General features: G+C 38.1%; 1 protein-coding gene across 5 annotated transcripts in view, besides 4 other annotated features; it reads left to right on the top strand.

Moving 5' to 3' along the window:
* LARS1 (leucyl-tRNA synthetase 1) overlaps window positions 1-25,947 on the top strand; it is a 69,617-nt gene that overhangs the window by 9,111 nt on the left and 34,559 nt on the right. For 3 of the 5 annotated variants that reach the window (XM_011537656.4, NM_001317965.2, NM_020117.11), the window contains 13 exons: window positions 766-853; window positions 1,550-1,630; window positions 5,275-5,412; window positions 9,069-9,230; window positions 13,054-13,166; window positions 14,070-14,133; window positions 15,745-15,812; window positions 15,912-16,137; window positions 19,560-19,647; window positions 19,730-19,806; window positions 20,313-20,366; window positions 21,538-21,678; window positions 23,841-23,918. In XM_011537656.4, the coding sequence (XP_011535958.1) occupies window positions 803-853; window positions 1,550-1,630; window positions 5,275-5,412; window positions 9,069-9,230; window positions 13,054-13,166; window positions 14,070-14,133; window positions 15,745-15,812; window positions 15,912-16,137; window positions 19,560-19,647; window positions 19,730-19,806; window positions 20,313-20,366; window positions 21,538-21,678; window positions 23,841-23,918 (1,341 nt within the window). In that variant the 5' untranslated portion in view covers window positions 766-802. The remainder of the gene's footprint in view (window positions 1-765; window positions 854-1,549; window positions 1,631-5,274; window positions 5,413-9,068; window positions 9,231-13,053; window positions 13,167-14,069; window positions 14,134-15,744; window positions 15,813-15,911; window positions 16,138-19,559; window positions 19,648-19,729; window positions 19,807-20,312; window positions 20,367-21,537; window positions 21,679-23,840; window positions 23,919-25,947) is intronic. The other 2 variants (NM_016460.4, NM_001317964.2) reach the window with 2 other exon arrangements.
* Window positions 2,351-2,520: an enhancer, noted in NCBI's record as "experimental_81576 CRE fragment used in MPRA reporter constructs". NCBI's record gives its function as "activates a minimal promoter by MPRAs in K562 erythroleukemia cells, with activity observed for both the introgressed and non-introgressed 5:145550668 or rs62373801 variant alleles {active_cell/tissue: K562}" and the evidence as "EXISTENCE:reporter gene assay evidence [ECO:0000049][PMID:34662402]".
* Window position 2,435: a transcriptional cis regulatory region, noted in NCBI's record as "Neanderthal adaptively introgressed variant 5:145550668 (GRCh37/hg19 assembly coordinates) or rs62373801 in the experimental_81576 CRE". NCBI's record gives its function as "modulates activity of the experimental_81576 enhancer by MPRAs in K562 erythroleukemia cells {active_cell/tissue: K562}" and the evidence as "EXISTENCE:reporter gene assay evidence [ECO:0000049][PMID:34662402]".
* Window positions 3,751-3,920: an enhancer, noted in NCBI's record as "experimental_81571 CRE fragment used in MPRA reporter constructs". NCBI's record gives its function as "activates a minimal promoter by MPRAs in K562 erythroleukemia cells, with activity observed for both the introgressed and non-introgressed 5:145549268 variant alleles {active_cell/tissue: K562}" and the evidence as "EXISTENCE:reporter gene assay evidence [ECO:0000049][PMID:34662402]".
* Window positions 21,906-22,075: an enhancer, noted in NCBI's record as "experimental_81447 CRE fragment used in MPRA reporter constructs". NCBI's record gives its function as "activates a minimal promoter by MPRAs in K562 erythroleukemia cells, with activity observed for both the introgressed and non-introgressed 5:145531113 variant alleles {active_cell/tissue: K562}" and the evidence as "EXISTENCE:reporter gene assay evidence [ECO:0000049][PMID:34662402]".

The following is a 25,947-nucleotide window of genomic DNA, read 5'->3' as shown; positions in this document are numbered from 1 at the left end:
GCTTTAAAGGATGCGTTTAAAGTGAATCTACCACATATCAAGTAATATTGAGGATGTTTTATATTACCTGAGGGACTTTGAATTGCTTTATATATATATCTAGTATCTAGTGAAAACAAATCTCATTTATTCAGTAAAATATTAAATTAGCCTAGGTTCATAAGGGTATTAAAGAATTTTTTTTTTTTTGAGATGGAGTCTCATTTTCGCCCAGGCTGGAGTGCAGTGGCATGATCTCAGCTCATTGCAACCTCTGCCTCTCAGGTTCAATGATCAGGCGATTCTTGATTCTCATGCTTAACCACTAGAGTAGCTGGGATTATCAGCGCACGCCATCACGCCCGGCTAGTTTTTAGTAGAGACAGGGTTTCACCATGTTGCCCAGGCTGGTCTCGAACTCCTGGCCTCAAGCAGTCCACCAGCCTTGGCCTCCCAAAGTGTTGGGATTACAGGTGTGAGCCACCACGCCTGACCTAGTATATTATCTTTACTCAAGTATTTTAGCTCAAATTAAACCTCTAGTATTTGTTACAAGGCTATTTAATTCTTAATAGCAACCTATCAATGTCTTATTTCTTGTAAATCTAAAGTAATTTTCAATTTTAGAGAGTTTTAAATTTGTAGATTTATAAATTTACTTTTAAATATTTTTTAAATAACCTTAAGTTATTTATATCAAGCATTTCCTTCACCCCACTTCCTTATTGTAAAAGGAACTTAACATTTATTCTTCTGTACTTTCTTTTTTATACTGTTGTTTTGCAGCAAGGGCAAGTATTTTGTAACCTTCCCATATCCATATATGAATGGACGCCTTCATTTGGGACACACGTTTTCTTTATCCAAATGTGAGGTAATGTTTCCCTATGTTTGCTATAATGGGGAGGAAGGTTTTTAACGAATATTGTTTTGAAGAAAATGGCAGCTATAGAATTTATTATTTCCTGTTAAGAGAACTTAAAATTCCTTAAAGCATAATTTTTTATATTTAAGTAATTTATTTTTATTTTTATTTATTTATTTTTGAGATGGAGTCTTGCTTTGTCACCAGGCTGGAGTGCAGTGGTGTGATCTCAGCTCACTGCAACCTCTGCCTCCTGGGTTCAAGTGATTCTTCTGCCTCAGCCTCCCGAGTAGCTGGGACTACAGGCACGCACCACCACGCCCAGCTAATTTTTGTATTTTTAGTAGACACGGGATTTCACCATATTGGCCAGGATGGTCTCAAACTCTTGACCTTGTGATCCACCAGCCTCGGCCTCTGAAAGTGCTGGGATTATAGGCATGAGCCACCGTGCCTGGCCCATTTAAGTAATTTAATTTTTATATTTAATTTTTATGTGCCATATGTGTATGTGTGCAAGGGTCTGGGCATGTATGCATATTCAAAAGTAATTCCTAGGTTGGTGAGTTTTGGGATGCCTAAAATCTAACTGGCATTCCAAAGGAGGATGTAAAGAAGAAAACTAATTTTTTTGTGTGAAAAGTTCACATTTTGTATTTGTCTGGCATTTAAATTTGCAATTTAAATTTAATTTTATTTCTGTAGTTTGCTGTAGGGTACCAGCGATTGAAAGGAAAATGTTGTCTGTTTCCCTTTGGCCTGCACTGTACTGGAATGCCTATTAAGGTAAGATCGCTAATAGGATTGGTTTCTACTCTTTTTAGTTGGAGCAAATAGTAATACCCAATTCAAGAGCTTAAAAGGATTTTTAAGTATTGCTGCATTAAAGTATGAAATGAGTTGAATTTATTATAGTGAAAATTAATTTAAAAATAAACAACATGTGAAGAAGTGCTTAAATAAAGGGCATCCATTATGGTCTAAGTGATTACTAAGTGATTTTAATGTCTTTTGGTTACCTTGTGTATTTATGTCTGTATTACAGTTAGGTAATAACTGATTCTGTTTTACTAAAAAGAAAAATGTACAGCCATTGTGCACTTATGACATATGTAAGATGCCGGCATAAAATAATAAACAGTTGTATTGTATTTTGATCATTTTTGCAAATATCTTCATTTGTCATAAGTTTGTATTAGAAATAATTCTCAATGAAGAATAGGAAAGAAAACTAGAGTTGAAAGGATTCCTTTATATAATAGGATTAGGAAATTTAAATCCTATTTCTTTTTATTCTCCAACATTTTATTTTATTTTACTTTATTTTATTTTTTTTTTGAGACGGAGTTTTGCTTTTGTCGTCCAGGCTGCAGTGCAATGGTGTGATCTTGGCTAACTGCAACCTCCTTCTCCTGGGTTCAAGCGATTCTCCTGCCTCAACCTCCCGAGTAGCTGGGATTACAGGCACCCGCCACCACACCTGGCTAATTTTTGTATTTTTAGTAGAGACGAGGTTTCCCCGTGTTGGCTAGGCTGTTCTGGAACTCCTGACCTCAGTTGATCCACCCACCTCGGCCTTCCAAAGTGCTGGGATTACAAGCGTGAGCCACCATGCCCGGCCTTCTGCAACCTTTTATTTTAAAGAATGTCAATCCTACAGAAAAAGTGGAATGGTAGTACAATGAACACCCTCCACCCTTCACCTGTAGTTACAAAGTCTTAACGTTTGCCATATTTGTTTTAGTTCTGTCTCTTAGCACACATGCATGCATGCGTGCTTTTCTCTTTCTTTTTCTTCTTTTTTTTTTTTCTGAGTTGGAGTCTTGCTCTGTCACCCAGGCTGGAGTGCAGTGTTGTACTTTTAGTACAGATGGGGTTTCACCATGTTGGCCAGGCTGGTTTCAAACTCCTGACCTCAGGTAATCTGCCCACCTCGGCCTCCCAAAGTGCTGGGATTACAGGCATGAGCCACCACGCCTAGCCCTTCTCTCTCTCTTTTTCTGTGAACTTTTTGAAAGAAAGTTGCAGATATCATGACGTGTCATTGCTAAATACTTCAGCATGTATTCTAAGAACAAGGGCATTCTTCTACATTATCAGAGTCCTGTTATCCCCTCCAAGAAATTCAACATTGATGTTATATTATCGTCTTCATCTAATCTGTAGTCAAATTTCTGTAGACTCAAAATGTCCTTTCCATCTGTTTTTCCCCCCTTTTTTTTTTTTGAGACGGAATCTTGCTCTGTCACTCAGTCTGGAGTGCAGTGGTGAGATCTTGGCTTGCTGCAACATCTGCCTCCCAAGTTCAAGTGATTCTCTTGCCTCAGCCTCCTGAATATCTGGGATTACAGGTGCCTGCTACCATGCCTGGCTAATGTTTTTTGTATTTTTAGTGTAAACAGGGTTTCACCATGTTGGGCAGGCTGGTCTCGAACTCCTGACCTTAGGTGATCCGCCTGCCTTGGCTTCCCACAGTGCTGAGATTACAGGCTTGACCCACTATGCCCTGCTGTTTTTCACTTTTTATTTTGTGGAGCACACATTGCATGTAATTATCCATTCTTTTCACTGTCTTTTAGTTGTTTGTCGTGATATTGATGTTTTTGAAGTCTAAGCTAGTTATTTTGTAGAATGTCCTATGATATGAGTTTTCTGATTGTTTTTTCATGATTAGGGTTGGGCTAAATATTTTGACAAGAATACTTCATTGTTGAGGTATTAACTTACCATTGTATCACCTCAAAAGCATATAAAATGGTAATTTGTCCCATTTAGTGAAATTAAGTTAATCCTGCCAGGTTTCCTCATTCTAAAGGTGACTTTTCCTCCTATAAAATTAAAAAGTAAGGCCAGACACGGTGGCTCACGCCTGTAATCCCAGCACTTTGGGAGGCCGAGGCAGGAGGATCACATGAGGTCAGGAGTTCAAAACCAGCCTGGCCAACGTGGTGAAACCCCATCTCTACTAAAAATACAAAAATTAGCCGGGCGTGGTGGCAGGTGCCTGTAATTCCAGCTACTTCGGAGGCTATGTCAGGAGAATCGCTTGAACCCGGGAAGTAGAGGTTGCAGTGAGCCGAAACTGCGCCATTGCACTCCAGCCTGGGCAACAAGAGTAAAATTCCATCTCAAAAAAAAAAAAGAAAGAAATTAAAAAGTAATCTATAGGATAACACTTTGAGAGCCTCTGAATGTCCTGTTACTCAATAACCCTGGTTTTATCATCCTTTAATCATCCTTGCCTGTTTTTATTATTCTATTAGTGGTTGAAATTCTTCTGAATAGAAGAGCCTTTTCCATTTAAAAAATTTTTACTTCTGTATTTCTTATTTTTCTCATAACTTTAACAGTGTTTACTTGGTGTCATCTTTGTTTTTGACAGTGGACTCATTGTGGTATAATTGATAAGAGCTAGAGTGGAAAGTCCAAGGTTAAGTCTGTAACTTTGCTAGCTGTATGACCTTGGGTAAATCACTTCATCTCTGTTTGTTTTCTGACTTAAAGCCTATCCTATCTACTTGGTAGGCTTGTGATGATAACTAATAGAGTATATGTGACAGTAATCTATCTTTCTTTCTTTCTTTCTTTCTTGCTGGTGGGATTTTATTTTTGTTTTTATTTATTTTTTATTATTATACTTTAAGTTCTGGGGTACATGTGCACAATGTGCAGCTTTGTTACATGTGTATACATGTGCCATATTGGTGTGCTGCACCCATTAACTCGTCATTTACATTAGGTATATCTCCTAATGCTATCCCTCCCCCCTCCTGACAGTAATCTTTAAATTGAGAAACAATGTTATTAATGTTATCCAAAATGATAACACATTATGTTTCCTACATCTTTATATATCTAATATATATGGTATATAGTATACTATATTGAATATTCTGGGTGTTGAATAAATGTTTTTGAGTAAATTAGGTAAAATACTACTTTATAAATTAGTGAATTTTGAGGTACATGATTTATACCTTTTTTTAATTTAATTTTATTTTTTTGAGACATGGGACTCATTCTTGCTTTGTTGCCCAGGCTAGAGTGCAGTGATGTGATCTCGGCTCACTGCACCCTCTGCCTCTTGGTTTTAAGTGATCCTGTCACCTCAACCTCCCAAGTAGCTGGGATTACAGGCGTGTGCTACCACACCCAGCTAATTTTTATATTTAGTAGAGACATCATGTTGGCCAGGCTGGTCTCGAACTCCTGACAAGTGATCTGCCTGCCTCAGCCTCCCAAGGTGCTGGGATTATAGGCGTGAGCCACTGCTCCCAGCCTCCGTTTCAGTTTTCTGTAGTGGAGCCACATAGGTATCAATATATTGCAAAAAATTTCAGAGTCAATTTTAGTTGGCAATAAAAACAGTAAAAAACTGAAATTGTGTCTACCTTGATTTTGAACTTCATTATCTCTAATATTCGTTGTAGGCATGTGCTGATAAGTTGAAAAGAGAAATAGAGCTGTATGGTTGCCCCCCTGATTTTCCAGATGAAGAAGAGGAAGAGGAAGAAACCAGTGTTAAAACAGAAGATATAATAATTAAGGATAAAGCTAAAGGAAAAAAGGTTTGATAGTGGTTGATATTTATGTTGGTTGAAGTTTTATATTTTTCTGATTTATATGTGCATTCCCAGTACTAGCACAGTGCCCAACACATAAAATGTACTAGATCATTTTTTTAAAGTATCAAAGCAAAAAATTATCTTTCTGGCCAGGCGCGGTGGCTCAAGCCTGTAATCCCAGCACTTTGGGAGGCCGAGGCAGGCAGATCATGAGGTCAGGAGATCGAGACCATCCTGGCTAACATGGTGAAACCCCGTCTCTACTAAAAATACAAAAATTAGCCGGGCGTAAGCCGGTCGTAGGCCGGGCGCGGTGGCTCACGCCTGTAATCCCAGCACTTGGGGAGGCCGAGGCGGGCGGATCATGAGGTCAGGAGATCGAGACCATCCTGGCTAACATGGTGAAACCCCGTCTCTACTAAAAATACAAAAAAATTAGCCGGGCGTGGTGGCTCACGCCTGTAATCCCAGCACTTGGGGAGGCCAAGGCGGGCGGATCACGAGGTCAGGAGATCGAGACCATCCTGGCAAACATGGTGAAACCCCATCTCTACAAAAAATTAGCCGGGCGTGGTGGTGGGCGCCTGTATTCCCAGCTACTCGGGAGGCTGAGGCATCAGAATGGCGTGAACCCTGGAGGTGGAGCTTGCAGTGAGCCCAGATCACGCCACTGCACTCCAGCCTGGGCAACAGAGCGAGACTCTGTCTCAAAAAAAAAAAAAAATTATCTTTCTGACTTTCCTATTTCCTTTTTCCTCTTTTTTGAAGTAATTTTAGATTTACAGAAGAACTGCAAGATAGTATATAGATGTTAAATCTTATATAACTATGATACTATTTTTCAAATTAAGGAATTAACATTAGTACAGTAGTGTTTACTAAACTACAGACTTTTTGGATTTTACCAGTTTTTTCACTAATGTCCTTTTCTCTTCCAATGTCCAATCCAGGATCCCACATTGCAGTTAGTTGTCATGTGTCCTTACTATGTTTCCTTAATCTTTTCTGTCTTTCGTTTTCTTCTATGACCTTTATACTTTTAACGAATACGGGTCAGATAATTATAGATAATGCCTCAGTTTGAGTTTGTTTGATGCTTTCTCATCGTTAGATTGAGGTTATTGATTTGGAGGAAGACTATTAGGTAATTTGTCGTTCTCAAGCGTTAGGGAGTATATGATACTGATATGTCTTATTATTGGTGATGTTAACATTGATCATTTGGTTAAGATGGCGTCTGCCAGGTTTTTCTCCTGTAAAGATTTCATTTTTTTTTAAATAATTAATATATATTTTGGGAGAGATCTTTTGAGGCCATGGAAATAATACTGTGTTTCTTTTTAAATATTTGCTCATTAATTTTAGCATTCATCAGTGGATCTTGCCTACAACAATTATTACTCTAGTCTTCTAATCATGATTTTCCATTTTCCTCTTTCTTTTTACATTTATTATCTATAATTCCTCTGAAAAGAAGAGCTGTCCTTTCTCCCCCACTTACTTAATCTGTCCTTTCTATGTCATATGGATTCATGGATATTCACTTTATTCTTCAGGTTATAAGCCAATACCATTGAGCTTTTTGTTTTTTAAGAGATGGAGTCTCACTATGTTGCTGGTCTTCAGCTCTGGGGCTCAAGCTGTCTTCTCACCTCAGTCTCCTGAGTAGCTGGAACTATAGGCTTATACCTCTGTGCCTGGCTATTGGGTTGTTTTTGAGTGTGTGTGTGTGGTTGTTAACAACACCGTAATTTGTTGTCAAATTGTTCTTTTTTATTAGAATAAAGCTAGAATAAATAAATTGTTCTAGCTGTGGCCATTGGGAGTTTTTTTAGCTTGGCTCCTGTGTCCATTAGACATTCCCTCATCTTCCTTTGTTCAAAGCAATTGCTTTCTTTATGGTGTCACAAGCTGTTCCAGGCTTGTATTTTCCGTGATTCAACCAAGGAATCAACCACTTCTCCAAGGTTTCTTTTATTGAAGAATGGTGTTCAGAAACTATGGCCTGAATGCTGGGTGTGCTCATTGCCTGGGGGTATCACTGCTTCTAGGCACTCTCAGTGGACAGAGCAAGGAAATATATTTATGTCTGCTAAGCCATGCATACACATCTGTTTTTATTTCTTTATGTATTTGAATGTTTATTAAAAAACAAGTAAGTTCATATTGATACCCCTGGCTCCATTTTAGCACCATGGGTCTCATTCTAGCATTTTCCCTTGGCTTATTTGTGACTTCTTACTACAACAGTGAGAAACTTGGCTCTCATTACCTATAGTATATTTCTTTATTTGTTCCATCCTAGACTACTAGTAGTTTCAGAATTGCCAACCTATACCCCTGGGAGAAACAATTTTACTGACAAAAGTACAGTGTTTGTGTGTAATTCTTTTTGTCTTTAGAATCTAATCACACTGTTTTCCAAAACTGCCTAGATCAGCTCCTTTCTTCCCTCCCCCTTGAGTGTGGTTATATCATATATTTGTAATGCAGTTAGATAGATTTGTCACAGTCTGCATTCCTCAGGTTCCTTCAGCATCGTGGTTGAATTTTTTAAAAATTTACATACCATAAAATTTACTTTTTTTTTTGTTTTTTTCAAGACATAGTCTTGCTCTGTCACCCAGGCTGGAGTACAGTGGTGGAGTCTTGGCTCACTGCAACCTCTGCCTCCTGGGTTCAAGCAATTCTCATGTTTTAGTCTCCCAAATAGCTGGGATTACAGGTGTGTGCCACCACGCCCAGCTAATTTTTGTATTATTGTTATTATTTTTATTATTGTTGTTGTTGTTGTTTGAGATGGAGTCTCTCTCTGTCACCTGGGCTTTGAAGTACAGTGGCACAGTCTCGGCTCACTGCAACCTCCGCCTCCCGGTTCAAGTGATTCTCCTGCCTCAGCCTCCAGGGTAGCTGGGATTACGGGCGCTTGCCACCATGCCCGGCTAATTTTCGTATTTTTAGTAGAGATGGGGTTTCACCACATTGGCCAGGCTGGTCTCGAAGTCCTGACCTCGTGATCTGCCTGCCTCGGCCTCCCAAAGTGCTGATATTACAGGTGTGAGCTACTGTGCCAGGCCCAAAATTTCCTCTTTGTGGTGTATAATTCTGTGAGTTTGAAAATGCCTGGAGTCATGTTTCTACCAGCACAGTATCATATAGAGCAATTCTGTCATCCTCAAAATTTTCTTATGCTGCCTCATTATAGTGTTACAGTTTAACCAAATTTCCTACCTTCAACTTCTGGCATTTGGTTGTCTCTTGGATATTCATAATTTTTGGAAAAGGAGGAAAGTCTTATGAGTAGCCTCTTTATAGGTAAATAAGGTAAATGTGGTATTAGGATAAAAGAAACAGAAGGTTTGGTATTGAGATCTTATCTTCATAATGGGTAGTTCTTTATGTTGCCATCCATTTAGTTATTATTGGTGCCAGTGTCTTGGCGGATATCTTGGCTATACAGTTTGACAGACTAAATTAGTACTATTTAGTACAGACTAGTACTTTTAGTACAGACTAATAGTACAACTAATTCCTGCAGTGTTCTGATGTATCAGCATTATTTTAGAATGTAAAAAAATTACATTCATTAATATCTTGGGTCATTTTCCTGGAGTGTTGGTTATTCTTTGATCGAGTTTATTTTTCTCCATTATTTTCAGAGTAAAGCTGCTGCTAAAGCTGGATCTTCTAAATACCAGTGGGGCATTATGAAATCCCTTGGCCTGTCTGATGAAGAGATAGTAAAATTTTCTGAAGCAGAACATTGGCTTGATTATTTCCCGCCACTGGCTATTCAGGATTTAAAAAGAATGGGTTTGAAGGTATGTCTATAAAGGAAATATGAGGAAAGCATTTACAAGTATGTGCTTTTTTATTGTGCTTTGCTTTATTGTGCTTTCCAGACATGGATTTTTTTTACAATTGAAGATTTGTGGCAACCCTGCGTTGAGCAAGTCTAGTGGCACCATTTTTCCAACAGCATTTGCTTACTTCATGTCACATTTTGGCAATTATTTTAATATTTCAAACTTTATTATTATCTGTTATGGTGATCTATATTCAGTGATCTTTGATGTTATTATTCTAATTGTTTTGGGTTGCCACACACTGTACCCATATAAGGTGGCAAACTTAATTGGTAAATGTTTGTGTTCTGACTGCTCCACTGACTGGCTTGTTTCCCTCTTTCTCTCCTTGGTTTTCCCTGTTTTCTAATAAACAACAATCTTGAAGCCAGTTATTAACCTTATAATGGCCTCTAAGTGTTCATGTGAAAGGGAGAGTCACATGTCTCTCATCATTTTAAGTAAAAAGCTAGAAATGATTAAGCTTAGTGAGGAAGGCATGTTGAAAGGCAAGATAGGCTAAATGCTAGGCCTGTTGTGCCAAACAGTCAGCCAAGTTATGAATGCAAAGAAAAGTTCTTTTTTTTTGTTTGTTTTTTTGAGATGGAGTCTCGCTCTGTCACCCAGGCTGGAGTGCAGTGGTGTGATCTCGGCTCACGGCAACCTCCGCCTCCCGGGTTCAAGCTATTCTTCTGCCTCAGCCTCCCGAGTAGCTGGGATTACAGGCGTCTGCCAACACGCCTGGCTAATTTTTGTATTTTTAGTAGAGACGAGGTTTCACTATGTTGGCCAGGCTGTTCTTGAACTCCTGACCTCAGGTGATCTGCCCATCTCAGCCTCCCAAAGTGCTGGGATTATAGGCATAAGCCACTGAACCTGGCCCAAAGAAAAGTTCTTGAAGGAGATGAAAGGTGCTTCTCCAGTAAACACATGAATGATAAGAAAATGAAGTGACCTTATTGCAGATATGGAGAAAGTTTGGTCCATATAGAAGATCAAACCAGCCACAACATTTCCTTCAGCCAAACCCTAATCCAGAGGAAGTCCCTAACTCTTCAATTCTGTAAAGGCTGGGGGAGGTGAGGAAGATGCAGAAGAGAAGTTGGAGGCTAGCAGAGGTTAGTTCTTAAGGTTTAAGGAAAGAAGCCATTTCCATAATAGAAAAGTGCAAGTTGTAGCCTGGGTGTGGTGGCTCATGCCTGCAATCCCAGCATTTTGGGAGGCCAAGGTGGGTGGATCACCTGAGGCCAGGAGTTCGAGACCAGCCTGGCCACCTGGGGAAACCCTGTCTCTATTAAAAATACAAAAATTAGCTGGGTATGGTGGCGGGCTCCTATAATCCCAGCTACTTGGGAAGCTGAAGGAGGAGAATTGCTTGAACCCAGGAGGTTGCAGTGAGCTGAGGCTGCGCCATTGCAACCCAGCCTGGGCAACAAGAGCGAGACTCTGCTGCAAGGTGAAGCAGCAAATGCTGATGTAGAAGCTGCAGCAAGTTATTTAGGGGATCTAGCTAAGATCATTGATGAAAGTGGCTACGCTAAACAACAGATTTTCTATGTAGACAAAACAGCTTTCCTCTAGTGATTAAGATGCTGTAAGACTTCCATAGCTAGAGAGAAGTCAGTGTCTGGCTTAAACGATGGGCTGATTCTTGTTAGAGGCTAATGTGTCTACTGACTTTAAGTTGAAACTAGTGCTCATTTACCATTTGGAAAATTTTAAGGCCTTTAAGAATGGTGCCAAATCTACTCTATGCTCTGTAAATGGAAAAATAAAGCCTGGGTGACAGCACATCTGTTTAAAGCATGGTTTGGTGAATGTTTTAAGCCCACTCTTGAGACCTACTGCTCAGGAAAAAAAAAAATTTCTTTCAAAATATTACTGTTCATTGACAATGCACCCAATCACTCAAAAGCTCTGATGGAGATATACAAGGAGATGAATGTTTTTATGCCTGCAAACACAACATTCATTCTGCAGTCCATGAATCAAGGAGTCATTTGACTTGTAGGTCTTCTTATTTAAGAGATACATTTTATAAGGCTATAACAGTCATAGATGGTAATTCCTCTGATGGATCTGGGCAAAGTAAATAGAAAACCTTCTGGAAAGGATTCATTGTTCTAGATGCCATTAAGAACATTCATGATTCATGGGAAGAGGTCAAAATATCAACATTAACAGGAGTTTGGAAGAAGCTGATTTTAACTCTTATGGATGACGTTGAAAGGTTCAAGACTTCAGGGGAGGAGGTTACTGCAGATGTGGTAGAAATTGCAAGAGAACTAGAATTACAAGTGGAGCTTGAAGATAAGCCTGAATTGCTATAATCTCATGAGAAAACTTGAATGGATGAGGATTCGCTTCTTACGGATGAGCAAAAAAAGTAGTTTCTTGAGATGGAGTCTACTTCTGGTAAAGGTGCAGTGAACATTGTTGAAATGACAAAGATTTTGAATATCACATAAACTTTAGTTGATAAAGCAGTAGCAGGTTTTGAGAGGATTCACTCCAAATTTTTTTTTTTTTTTTGAGATGGAGTTTTGCTCTTGTTGCCCAGGCTGGAGTGCAATGGCATGATATCGACTCACTGCAACCTCCGCCTCCCGGGTTCAAGTGATTCTCCTGCCTCAGCCTCCCTAGTAGCTGGGATTACAGGCATGCGCCACTACACCTGGCTAATTTTGTATTTTGTATTTTTTGTTTGTTTGTTTGTTTTAGTAGAGACGGGGTTTCTCCATGTTGGTTAGGCTGGTCTCGAACTCCCGACCTCAAGTGATCCGCCTGCCTTGGCCTCCCAAAGTGCTGGAATTACAGGCATGAGCCACCATGCCCGGCCCACTCCCAGTTTTGAAAGTTCTATTATGAGTAAAATGCTATCAGACAGCATCGCATGCTACAGAGAAATCTTTGTGAAAGGAAGAGTCAATGGATGTGGCAAACTTCATTGTTGTCTTAGTTTAAGAAATTGCCATAGCCATCACAACCTTCAGTAGCCACTTCTCTCATCAGTCAGCAGCCGTCATCGAGGCAAGACTCTCCACCAGCACAAAGATTACAACTCAACTGAAGGCTCAGATGATTATTAGCATTTTATAGCAATGATGTATTTTAAAATTAAGGTATATACATTGTCTTTTTAAATATAACTTTATTGCACACTTAACATAATTCAATATAGTATAAACATAACTTATATATGCCTTGGGAAATCAAAAAATTTGTGTGACTTGTTTTGTTGTGGTGGTTTAGAACCAAACCCACAATATCTCCCAGATATGTCTGTATATTTGTGTGATTATATGAGATTTGGACCAATTCCTAATTTTAGAATAATATATTTCCCCTGTATGCCACTAAAGAATTAGTACTGTTATTGTTAGACTAGAACCTAACATTGCCTATGGGTCTCATAACAATGAATACTTCACTATTTGTTGAATTAGAATGTATATTGACATATTAACAATTAGTAGAAAGGAGCTTTATTCAAAGAATATGAAGAAGCCCAAGTTTAACTTGAATATTTAGGAATACATAAAGGTAGGATTAAATGTTTCTTCTTAATTTATTATAGCTTCTATATGTTTGTTAATATGTATATGTATATGCTTAAAAATATACTTTAAGTAAATTAAAGTAATTGTGATATACTTTTAATAGTGGAACTTGGAAAATTATTTTTAATAGTTGATCTGATTCTAAGTTAGAAGAGTAAATAATTGATTCATAGGAATTCTTATTTAAACAAAATTTGTGTATTTCTCAGTAATTGCCTTTTAAAATTTTCCTTTTATAGGTAGACTGGCGTCGTTCCTTCATCACCACTGATGTTAATCCTTACTATGATTCATTTGTCAGATGGCAATTTTTAACATTAAGAGAAAGAAACAAAATTAAATTTGGGAAGCGGTAAGTTTGTTATACTTGAGCATAATAAAGCAAAAATCAGTTGGGCACAGAGGCTCACGCCTGTAATCCCAGTGCTTTGGGAAACTGAGGTGAGGGGATTGCTTGAGGCCAGGAGTTTGAGACCAGCCTGGGCAACATAGCGAGACCACATCTCTTTATATAAAAAAAAAAATTAGCCAGGCATGGTGGCATGCACCTGTAGTCCTAGCTACTTGAGAGGATGGGGCAGGAGGATTGCTTACATGAATAAATAAATACCTTGTAGCCTACCTTTTCCCATTACCTTTCAGGTTTTAAAATATGTTGTTTCTATTCTTTTGTATCCTTTGTTTTCCTTTTTTCCTTACCAGTGTCTTAATTTCTCTGAGCTGCTTAGTGTTTATGACAGATATAACCAGGGAGAATGGGAGGGTGGGCTTTTATTATCTTACTAAAGATTATGTTCAGTATTCCCTGCCAAGCAGAAAAAGTAATCATTTGATTTGTGTTTTATTTTATACTTTGTTCTACAAATTAAGATTCTTCCTTGATTATGTAGATTAATCAAGGAAGATAACTTAAGAAATGAAAATAAGTTATCTTCCTTGATTAATCTACATAATCAACTTCCTGATAGTTTCATTTGTTAAGTCAATTTATGTTTTATAATCTTTTGTTCAATACCACAAAGCCAAGATCAGTGTGTATTTTTCAGTGGTATTACCTTTGACGAAGATAGAAAGCTTTCATTAAATAAGTAGGTTGACAGTGGAACTACCATAAGAGTACACATAATAGACACAGATATCTACTCAGAAATTCTAGTTGCAAGACATGTAAGAAATTAGGTGCAACACAGGCAAATATGGTAGGATAAAACGTGAATATTATAATAATGTTTGTCACTTTTTGTTTATTTTTTAGGTATACAATTTACTCTCCGAAAGATGGACAGCCTTGCATGGATCATGATAGACAAACTGGAGAGGTGATTATTTGTGAGACAGAGTAGCTATTATAATAATCCTTAATAAGACTATAGAGTTTAAGAAATAGAAACCTAAAAATAACTTCTTTGTAGTGCTGAGGGATGTAGTCCTGATACTCTGGTGGATATGAAGAGGAGATAGAATATCAATACAGGTACCTGTATCTTGTGTAGTACCTAGCTATCCTAAGAGTCATGTGAGGACAGCTGCATCAGTTTGTTACAGGAAAGCACATTGTTTAGCCTCACCCCAAAATTGCTGAATCAAAAGTTCTGGGGGTGGGGCCCAGGAATATCTTTTTTTTTTTTTTCAGACGGAGTCTTGCTCTTTAGCCCAGACCGGACTGCAGTGGTGCTATCTCGGCTCACTGCAAGCTCTGCCTCCTGGGTTCACGCCATTCTCCTGCCTCAGCCTCCCGAGTAGCTGGGACTACAGGTGCCCACCACCACACCCAGCTAATTTTTTGTATTTTTAGTAGAGACGGGGTTTCACCGTGTTAGCCAGGATGGTCTCGATCTCCTGACCTCGTGATCTGCCCGCCTTGGCCTCCCAAAGTGCTGAGATTACAGGCGTGAGCCACCGTGCCCGGCCTCCAGGAATATCTTTTTACGAGCTCTCAATGTGATGTATATGCATGCTAATGTTGTGAAGCACCATCTGGAAAATAAACAGCTCTAAAAAGAAAGCATGGGGAGAGGTAATAAGATATGTGACCAAGATTTGATATACACAGATTCCAGTTATATTTGCTTTGATCATGTGCCTTCTTGCTTATTTCCAAAGTAATTCTAGCCATGCCTAGAAGTTCATTCTAATTCCTGTAGAACACATTATTAACATTATTCTCTGAAATACTTGAATAAATCAAGAGTAAGTGATTTGGCTAAATCCATGGCAAAGTAAAAATCAATGACAATGCCAGCATCTGAACTTATGATTCCCTATGATTGCATCATTTTTTATTACCATCTTTGAACATATTTTCAAAATCAGCCTTCAATTTTGATGTAACTTATCTAAGTGAGAGTTGATCAAAATTTTAAAAGATTTGAGAGACTTAAGACCCAGTAAAGTTTTAATATAGCCAATGGCAGCAATATCCTAGATTTCAGTAATCCTTTGTAGATTTTTCAAAGCATTTTTCATCTGTTATCTTGTGTGTTCCTCAGGACAGTCCTATCTGAGACGCAACATCCTTATTTTACCAATAAGGAAAGAAAGGCTTAGAGAGATTATGACTACCTTGGGTCTAACCATTAGTAAGGGAGCAAACTAAGTTTAGAAAGCACATTATCTCTGACCTCTGGTCTAGTGTCTTCCTTTGATGACTACTATGTGGGACATGCCCTGGGATGGAATTAGGGTTGATTGTGTCTTCTCACCTTCATTTTGGCAAACACTATTTTGGGCGATTACTCCAAATCTCTCCTAACGTACTAGACTTCTGTGTGGGTATAGTTAGCACACCACTGGCAATCTCTTCTCTGCAAAAAAAAATTAATAATGCAAGAACCCATTTTAGGGACTTGAATCAGATCTCTCACATAGATTAGTAGGTTTAAGGCAAGTCTTTTTTTTCCTTCAAATTTTTGTATCGTTTATTTGCTTAGGGTGTTGGACCTCAGGAATATACTTTACTCAAATTGAAGGTGCTTGAGCCATACCCATCTAAATTAAGGTAGGTTTGCCAGAGTAATTGCTTTATCATTTCTGAACCATCAGATAGTTGTTACAGAGTTGACATGTTTTTACATCAATATTTGTTTTTTTTTCTCAGTGGCCTGAAAGGTAAAAATATTTTCTTGGTGGCTGCTACTCTCAGACCTGAGACCATGTTTGGGCAGACAAATTGTTGGGTTCGTCCTGATATGAAGTACATTGGATTTGAGACGGTGAATGGTGATATATTCATCTGTACCCAAAAAGCAGCCAGGAATATGTCATACCAGGGCTTTACCAAAGACAATGGCGTGGTGCCTGTTGTTAAGGAATTAATGGGGGAGGTAAGTTGGATAGCAGATTTTTTATTTTAATGCGTAAATTTCAAGGAAAATTTCAACAATGAATATTGAGAAAAGAGCATTACAACCTTAAAAAATGAGGTGTACATGCAGTAAACTGTGTAAGTCTTGTGTGTTTTGGTGCATTTTCATATGTATATACACTTACGTAAACACCACCTAAATCAAGATATAGAACAGTTTTAGCACTCCAGAAGGCTCTCTCATGTCCATATCATTAGTACTCACCTCTCTCCTCCAAAGGTAACCACTGCTCTGACTTCACCAAAGATTAGTTGTTGTTCTTGAACTTTACATAATGGAATTGTGTAGTCTGACTGTTTTGTGTCTAGCTTCTTTTGCTTAACATTATGTTTGTGAGATTCATACATGTTGTAGGAATAGTTCTTTTTTTATTGTTGTGTAATATTCATTGTATGACTGTATCATTAAGATAGCATATTTTATTTTTAGGTTTCAACTCGGTAAATATCTGGTTGAAAAATATAGGCAGTCCTCCCCAAGAGATTTAATAGCTGCATTAGTCATTATATTATTTTAAAAATACTATTACCTGAATTCCTGGTAATACTAAATTTGGAATTGTAGCTGCCTTTTTTTTTTTTCATGTGAAGAAAGTCTTGGTTGATATTAATTAAATATGGATGGTTACACAGCTCATCTACTTTATTTTATTTTTATTTTTTTTTTTGTAGACAGTTTTGCCCTTGTTGCCCAGGCTGGTGTTCAGTGGCGCGATCTCAGCTCACTGCACCTCTGCCTCCTGAGTTCAAACGATTCTCCTGCCTCAGCCTCCTGAGTAGCTGGGATTACAGGTGCGGGCCACCACGCCCAGCTAATTTTTTGTATTTTTAGTAGAGACAGGGTTTCATCATGTTGGCCAGGCTGGTCTTGAACTCCTGACCTCGGGTGATCCACCCACCTCGGCCTCCCAAAGTGCAGGGATTACAGGCGTAAGCCACTGTACCCAGCCTTATCTACTGTATTATCAATATTTCTGAGTGTGTTTAATTCCATTTAGTGAATGCTGATCTTTGGTATCTTAAATAATTTTTTAAAAAGAAAAATATGAGTAGAGTACCATCTCAATTCTTTTAAATTGAACTATTTTATTCCTTATTTAATACTTTGATTGCAGTATATTTACAAGTCCCAAAATTCAAAAAACGCAAAAAGATACAAAAGTTCCCCATTCTAGAGGTAGTTAGTAATATCTGTGTCTTGTGTATCCTGGTAATATTTCATGTATACACAAGCGAATACACACATACTCTTTGTCCCTCTGTTTTTACACAAATGGCAATATACTTTATATGCATTGTACCACATCTTGCTTTTTAATTTGTATCTTGGCAATCATTTTGTCAGTACATAAACAGCTTCTTTATTCTTATTTTTTATAGCTACATAGTATTTCATTGTTTGGTTGTACCACAATTTACTTAACCATTCTCTATTAATGGATATTTGAATTGTTTCCTGCCTTTTTCTTTTAAAAGCAGCACTGCCACATCTCTTTAGTTCCTAATGTTGGAATTTTGTCTGAGAAGTTCTTGGGAACAGTATTAGGGACATACATGTTTTCCTATTCTTAATGCAACTTTTCTCCCTGTTAATTTGAGCAAATTCTGGCGTGAGGGACATGGATGTTATAAATTGCAAAATAGTTTCAACATTTAAAATGGTTATAATATTTAGCTGTCATCCATATGACTGCAAATTCTATAAAGGCAGGTTATAAGTACATATATGAATAAAGAGGGGTGGGTGGGAATTATGTGGAAAGGAAAAGTGTGTTCCTTAGCTAGAGCAAGAAGCTGCAAATTCTTTGTTGCCATCTGAGAATTTGGGTCTAAAATTGCTTAATCTTTTGGATTTTTTCAAGTGAAATTAGAACTATCCTTTTACTTTGTCTTCATAACTACTATTTTAAATAGATGTATAGTACCCATTCTTGTTCTTGTAACATATTTTGTTAAATCATTTTTTCTATCATTGAAAGCTTTAGTTGTTTCCAGGCTTTCCTAGTATAATTAACTCAGCATTGGGTAGACTTGTTTAAGAAAAAATAATTAGTTGTTGTTGAGTCTGAGTTACATGAACATTTTGTGGCTTTTGCTGTGGATTCCTATATTTTCTTCAAGGAGTACAATGTCACAAACAATGTATTAGTGTACTCATGTCATAATATTGACAGATTTAGTTATTATAATTATTAAAAATTATTTTTCCGGGACGGGCACGGTGGCTCATGCCTGTAATGCCAGCACTTTGGGAGGCAGAGGTGCGTGGATCACCTGGGGTCAGGAGTTCAAGACCAGCCTGGCCAACATGGTGAAACCCTGTCTCTACTAAAAATACAGAAATTAGCCAGGCGTGGTGGTGCATGCCTGTAATCCCAGCTACATGGGAGGCTGAGGCAGGAATCGCTGGAACCTGGGAGGCGGAGGTTGCAGTGAGCCGAGATCATGCCATTGCACTCCAGCTTGAGTAACAAGAGCAGAACTCCATCTCAAAAAAAAAATTATTTTTCCTCTAGTAGGTATAAAATAATGTGTTTTGTTTTACTTCATATGTATTTTATTTATATTCTTTTCTTTATTTTTTGAGACGGGGTCTCCCTCTGTCACCCAGGCTGGAGTGCAGTGGCACGATCTTGGCTCACTACAACCTCCACCTCTCGGGTTCAAGCAATTCTCCCGCCTCAGCCTTCCAAATAGCTGGGACTACAGGCGCATGCCACCACGCCTGGCTAATTTTTTGTATTTTAGTAGAGACGGGGTTTCACCATGTTGCCCAGGCTGGTCGCGAACTCCTAAGCTCAGGCAATCTGCCTGCCTCAGCATCCCAAAGTGCTGGGTTTACAGGCGTTAGCCACCGCGCTCAGCCTGTATTCATTTTTTAATTGACAGAAATTGTATTTATGGTACGCAATATGTTTTGAAATATATATACATTGTGAAATGGCTAAATTGAGGTAATTAACAAATTTATACCTTACGTACTTACCATTTTCTGTGGTGAGAAGAGTTAAAATTTAAATCAGGTGCAGTGGTATGCACCTGTAGAGCCAGCTACTTGGGAGGCTGGGACCTCAGGAGGCTTGCCTGAGCCCAGGAGCTTGAGCCTGTAGAATGCTATGATAGCACCTGTGAATAGCCTCTACACTCTAGCCTTGGCAACATAGCAAGGCTCTGTCTCTTAAAAAAATCTACACAGCAATTTTCAAGTATAAAATACATTGTTATTTCCTATAGTCACCATATTGTACAATATAGCTCTTGAATTTATTTCCATATATTTTTGATTACTAGCTTCTCAGGGCTTAAAATATTAACATAGTTTTAATTCTAATGGTCACAATGAATTACTTCACCTTTTATATTGATTTTTTTCTTATGCAGGAAATTCTTGGTGCATCACTTTCTGCACCTTTAACATCATACAAGGTGATCTATGTTCTCCCAATGCTAACTATTAAGGAGGATAAAGGTAAAGAGTTTATTTATTTCTAGAAATATTTTGATAAACACATTTTGGTTCTAGTTATTAATTCCACACTTTGTTTTCTAAGGCACTGGTGTGGTTACAAGTGTTCCTTCCGACTCCCCTGATGATATTGCTGCCCTCAGAGACTTGAAGAAAAAGCAAGTAAGTATCTGAGTTTCATGTTTGTATTTCGTCCTCACCATCTCATTGCTTAGGTGCTGCTGAACTACGCTGTGGGACTAGGCTAAAAAGCTATGCATTTATCTTTAAACTGCTATCTCTAACTTGTTTCTTGATGTTAATATATTTTCTGTGGTTTGAATTTTAAATATGTTCACAGAATTTTGAAAAAGCTTTCTGATATTCACATTTTCATTGAAATCTGGCATATGAACCTCAATTTAAGTGATATGTGTATGTCTATGTACATTTTTGCTTTTGGTTGTGTGGTTTCATTTAGGCTATTCACTATAACTTTAGCTATTAAATTTTTGAAGGTTACAGATCCCTTTTGAGATATTTGGCAAAGTTAGAAAATTGCTCTCTATGGAGAGGAGAACAAATAGAAACTTTAAAGAAACTTTTAAGAAACTTTGGAGATTGCTTCTCTCAATGATTCTCCCAGTAAAGTGTTGATCATTAGTGTTAACTTGCAAATTTTTCTGTAGGCCTTACGAGCAAAATATGGAATTAGAGATGACATGGTCTTGCCATTTGAGCCGGTGAGTACATAGATAATTCAGAATATTCACATCCATCTCTTTATCAGAGAAAAAGAAGAGCTAACATGTTTTCCTTATAACAAAATTAATTGGTGGAGTATGAAAAAGAGAGTTTGCTTAAGGATTTACTCACTTTAATTTGATACCTGCTATGGTAGATAAGAGCAAAAGGAAAACTAACAAGCATTTTCTTACCACCTGGCACCTGCAGTTCTGGAACAAATAGCTTTTTAGCATCACCAATTTTATAGTAGCTTGCTTTGCTAGTGTGATCAATTTCCTGGCTTCTAAAGATAAAATTTTGCCCTTTTCATGAATGTTTATATGTAACCATAATAACTTTAACAAAGTCCTGTACAACTCTGTTTTATGTTTCTTGTATTTTCATGTTAGTATCTATAGAAGAAAAACTTTTAAATTACTAGCAAATGATTTTCATTTCATGAAAGATCCAGAGGAATTAATATAAACCAAAAGCACAACCATCCATGAATCTAGTTGTTTACATCAGCAGGCCCCAACCTTTTTGGCACCAGGGACTGGTTTTGTGGAAGACAATTTTTCCATGGACCAGCAGGGTGTGGTAGGGGAATGGTTTTGGCATGAAACTGTGCCACCTTAGATCATCAGGCATTAGATTCTCATAAGGAGCAAGCAACCTAGATCCCTCCATGCACAGTTCACAATAGGGTTCGTGCTTCTATGAGAATCTAATGCCACCCATGATCTGACAGGAGGTGAAGCTCAGGGGGTGATGCTCGCCCGTTCCTCACCTCCTGCTGTGCAGCCTGGTTCCTAATGCCATGGACTGGTACCGGTCCACATCCTTGGGGTTGGGAACCCCTGGTTTACATCATTTTGCTAGTTTCAGTATGAATTACTTAGGTAATTATATGCCAGTGGAGGATAGAGTGTTGGGAAAGGTGTGTGTGGTGGGGGAAGGGCATTGGGGGTGTTGGTACACAGAGTATGGGTGGTTCCTGTGGAGAGTAGAAGGACAAATTTACATCTGGAAGTTAGTCACTCTGTGATTACTTAATGTGTGGCAGTGTCGTAATGACATATACAATCTGAAATGACTTAATTGGACATTAGAGGCAAAAGGACTTGTGCCCTACAGAGCTGTGTGTCCAGTCAGTGTGAACACGTTCCTGATTGCTGTTTGCTGCAGGTGCCAGTCATTGAAATCCCAGGTTTTGGAAATCTTTCTGCTGTAACCATTTGTGATGAGTTGAAAATTCAGAGCCAGAATGACCGGGAAAAACTTGCAGAAGCAAAGGAGAAGATATATCTAAAAGGATTTTATGAGGGTGTAAGTAATAATTTTTTTTAGTTTTTATTTGCTTTACTCCATGCTCTGTGATTTTCTTAATTAGAAAAAATGTAGAAAAATTTAACATAGTTTCAGCTATACATTGATTTGAGAGCTTAATATGAGAATGTATTCTATTTCCAAATTTCTAATTTTTGTTTTTATCATGTCCTTTGCCTAAAAGCATTTTCAGAAATTGTCTTTTTCGTGCCCTCTAGGAATCTCTATGGAGTGAATTTCTTGACAAGATATTTCAAATTAGTTCATATTATTATGCAGTAAACTTCAAAGATTTATTGAATGGAGAATACCTGGTCCCTTCTTTTGCTCTTTTAGTTAAGGAGTTCATATTTTAGATAAGCAGTTTTATTCAGTCCATTAATTTATTTATTAATGTCTACTAAATGCCAGGTGAGTTCAACAAACATGTTCTGAACCATTCTTTTCTCCTAATTGTGCATATGTTAATGTGGTTTATATTTCCATGGAAAGAAGGCTAGGCTAGAGAACATAAAAATCCAAACAAGTTATTAGGTGCTTCAGAGTCAAATGAAGATTTTTAAGGACATCAACAAGAATGTTTTTTAGTTTAGCTTTCCTACATTTTTCTGGATAACCAAGAATTGGTTACATTTCTTTTTTTTGAAGTGACACATATTTTGAATGATGATAAAAGCAACACTTATGTAGCACTTATATATTAATTTACTTAATTCTGAAAATAACCCCATTCTGAAGTAGGCACTCTTATCTCCAATTTACGGATGAGGAAATGGAGGCACAAAGAGATTATTAACTGATTTACTTGAGATTAGCCAGATAGTTAGCCAGTGGGAACTGGAATTCAAACTAGGTAGCCTGGCTCTGGGATTTACATTTGTGTGTGTGTGTGTGTGTGTGTGTGTGTGTGTGTGTGTGTCTATCTGACGGAGTCTTGCTCTGTCTCACAGGCTGGAGTGCGGTGGCTCAATCTCAGCTCACTGCAGCCTCCAACTTCCGGGTTCAAGCGATTCTCCTGCCTCAGACTCCTGAGTAGCTGGGACTACAGGCACGTGCCACCATGACCAGCTAATTTTTGTATTTTTAGTAGACACGAGGATTTCACCATATTGGTCAGACTGGTCTCGAACTCCTGACCCCAAGTGATCTGCCCACCTTGGCCTCCCAAAGTGCTGGGAGTATAGGCTTGAACCACTGCACCTGGCCAGATTTGTGTTCTTTTTTTTTTTTTTTTTGAGACGGAGTCTTGCTGTGTCGCCCAGGCTGGAGTGGAGTGGCTCAATCTTGGCTCACTGCGACCTCTGCTTCCTGGGCTCAAGCAGTTCTCCTGCCTCAGCCTCCTGAGTAGCTGGGATTACAGGCCCCTGCCATCACACCCAGCTAATTCAGATTTGTGTTCTTAATCACTGCATTCATTAAATATAACTTTATAATGCTGGATTAAATAGATATTGAAGTATTTTGGTATGTTAGAGGTTTAGAATGTCAAAAGAGAATGCATGTCTTTTCTACCTAAGATAGAAACAATTTGAGAGAAATATAAGAGTCATGTAGATGAAAATAAGAGTCATGTAGGTGAAAATATCTGCTTTATTACCAGAGAAAGCTGGAAGGTGATTGAGGCTTAATTGATGGCAACAATGGATAAGCTAATACTTTGCCCTAGAATGTTATTGGCCTACTGAAAAAGATAGAGGTGAAAGAGTAGGCCTCCTTCTAAGAGCAAGCTTTATCACATGGTCAGGCAAAGAATACTCACCTGCAGCAGGTGGGGTTAGAAAGAGGAGCCTAATTAGATGAAGCCGAATGTACTTAGTTCCTTCAGAAACCACCAGGAATGAGGTGAGTGAGTGTAATTGAAGTCTGTCTATGTGGAAACTTAAGAAGTGGAAGTGAGTATTCCTTCCTAATCATGCTCACACTAGGTATCTCCGTGATACCTAGTGAGGTGTGGGTATCACTGACAGAACGATAAGTGTGTTATAAATATTAGTTATCCATGCTATACCAAAATGAAAAATTATCGTTGTAAATATGATAAATTTCATACTAAAAATATTTCGGTGGGCAGAAGCAAATTTAGTTAGGGAAAATTAGGAAAGAAACTCAAGGCAGATTCTAACTGTTTTATATGTGGTTTTTCTCCCCTCTCATCCTTTTAGATCATGTTGGTGGATGGATTTAAAGGACAGAAGGTTCAAGATGTAAAGAAGACTATTCAGAAAAAGATGATTGACGCTGTATGTGATAGGCTATGCTCTGAAGGCTGTTTTAGAAGAGCTGTTAATAGACTTGACAGTGTTATTAGCAGTGAGTTCTACAGTAGAACCTGGAGCTATAATAAAAATATCATACAGTTTTGCGGCAGAAAATAGACCTATTTAGCAATTCATTTAACTTGAACATCCCATCTATAATGTTGATAAAGGTAGTGTTTTAAAGTCGATGTGTGCATAGCATGTGTAGAGAACTTTGATGATATTTCTGGCAGTGGCCATTTTAGATACTGGTAGTTACAATCCTTTCTTTCTGTGGTGTTTCTGTCGTCCTCCTCTCATCCCTCCGTTTCTGTTATAACTCTCTTCTATTTAGCTGAGTTAACCCTTTACATTTTTATTTTTGACAACTTTGTATACCCATAATACTATGAGAGACAATGGTCTGTTAGGCTTGTTGAAATAAAAAAGCAGCAATTTCCTCATCACTTTTCCATAATTTAAATTTCTCTTCCTTGGAGGGGGTAACATTTAATCGTTTTAGTATTGATCTCCAGCTCTTTTTTTTTTGAGATGGAGTTTCGCTCTTGTTACACAGACTGGAATGCAATGGCGCGATCTCAGCTCACTGCAACCTCCACCTCCTGGGTTCAAGTGATTCTCCTGCCTCAGCCTCCTGAGTAGCTGGAATAACAGGCATGAGCCACCATGCCTGGCTAATTTTGTATTTTTAGTAGAGATGGGGTTTCTCCATGTTGGTCAGGCTGGTCTCGAACTCCCGACCTCAGGTGATCCACTCGCCTTGGCCTCCCAAAGTGCTGGGATTACAGGCATGAGCCACCATGCCCGGCTAATCTCCATCTCTAACAGATCTCTGACCTAAATGCTTGTAATGTGATTTTTTTTTTTCAGGGTTAGGTATCAGCCACTAACCTCCTACTCTTGGAAGGAGTAGGAGGAAGATCAAAGTTACACTCTTTCCCCTACTTTTTGTTTTCTCTAACGTCCCACATTTATTGGTATATACTACTCCATACCCTGTCTTCTCCGTACACTGTAGTTATAACAAATGTTAGATGAATAGTTATTATTTACATTTTTGAGACATGGCTTATCCATAATACAATAATTTTTCATCCTCAGCTTTTGGTTTTCCCTGGGATTAATAGTTAGGTTTATTTTTAAAACATTCTTAATTAAAATACACTCGTCAGTACTCCATTTCTCAACTCTTTTCCAACTGTCTATTTCTTTTCTTACTCAGTTCAAACACATCAGTGTGCTTTCAGTTCCATCTCAGAGAAAGCTCTTCCAGCGCTTTCTGGCTTTAGTCTGAACTGGTTGCTTACTGTCCTGATGCACAAATCTTGGATGTTCCTCCACTATTGCTAAGAATACCCTTTGCTCCTCTTGAGCTGGATCTCCTGTTTCCTTAATCCCATGTCTATGTCCTTATATTCTTTCTCATTTTGGTGAAATTCTGCCTCTGATAGCTTTTCTGAGAAAGGGTACCTGGAAGGTAAATTGTTGTGACTTTTCATGTCTGAAATATGTCTTCTATCTTTATATTGGATTGCCTGAGTATAGATTCTGGATTGGAAATAATTTTCCCTTAAAAACCTGAAGGTATTACCTCATCATCTTTTGGTTCATTGATGCTATTAAGAAGTTGAAAACTCTTCTGGTAGTGACTGATGTTTTTGTAACTAACTTGTTTCCCCTGACTTTGGAGGCTTGTATAATCTTTTTTCTCCCAGTATCCTGAAATTTCATGATTTGCCTTGGGTGTAGGTCAATTTTCATTCATTCTACTGGGTGCTTGGTGGGCTCCTTCAATCTGAAAACTTGTGTACTTCAATTTGGGGAACATTTCTTGACTTTTTTCTTGATTATCTTATTTTTTTCTTATTCTCTATTTTCACTTTTTGAATTCCTATCATTCAGATATTGAACCTCTTAGATCCTGGCAGTCCTGTTGGTCCTCTTTGTGGGATAGTCCCTCATCATTTTCTTCCTGAGCTTTTCTTTACTATGTGCTTTTATTTACTATTTG

Source organism: Homo sapiens, chromosome 5 (assembly GCF_000001405.40).
Source record: "Homo sapiens chromosome 5, GRCh38.p14 Primary Assembly".
NCBI lineage: Eukaryota > Metazoa > Chordata > Mammalia > Primates > Hominidae > Homo > Homo sapiens.
Note: the sequence above shows the minus strand (reverse complement) of the source record. Positions and strands in the feature narration are given on the sequence as shown.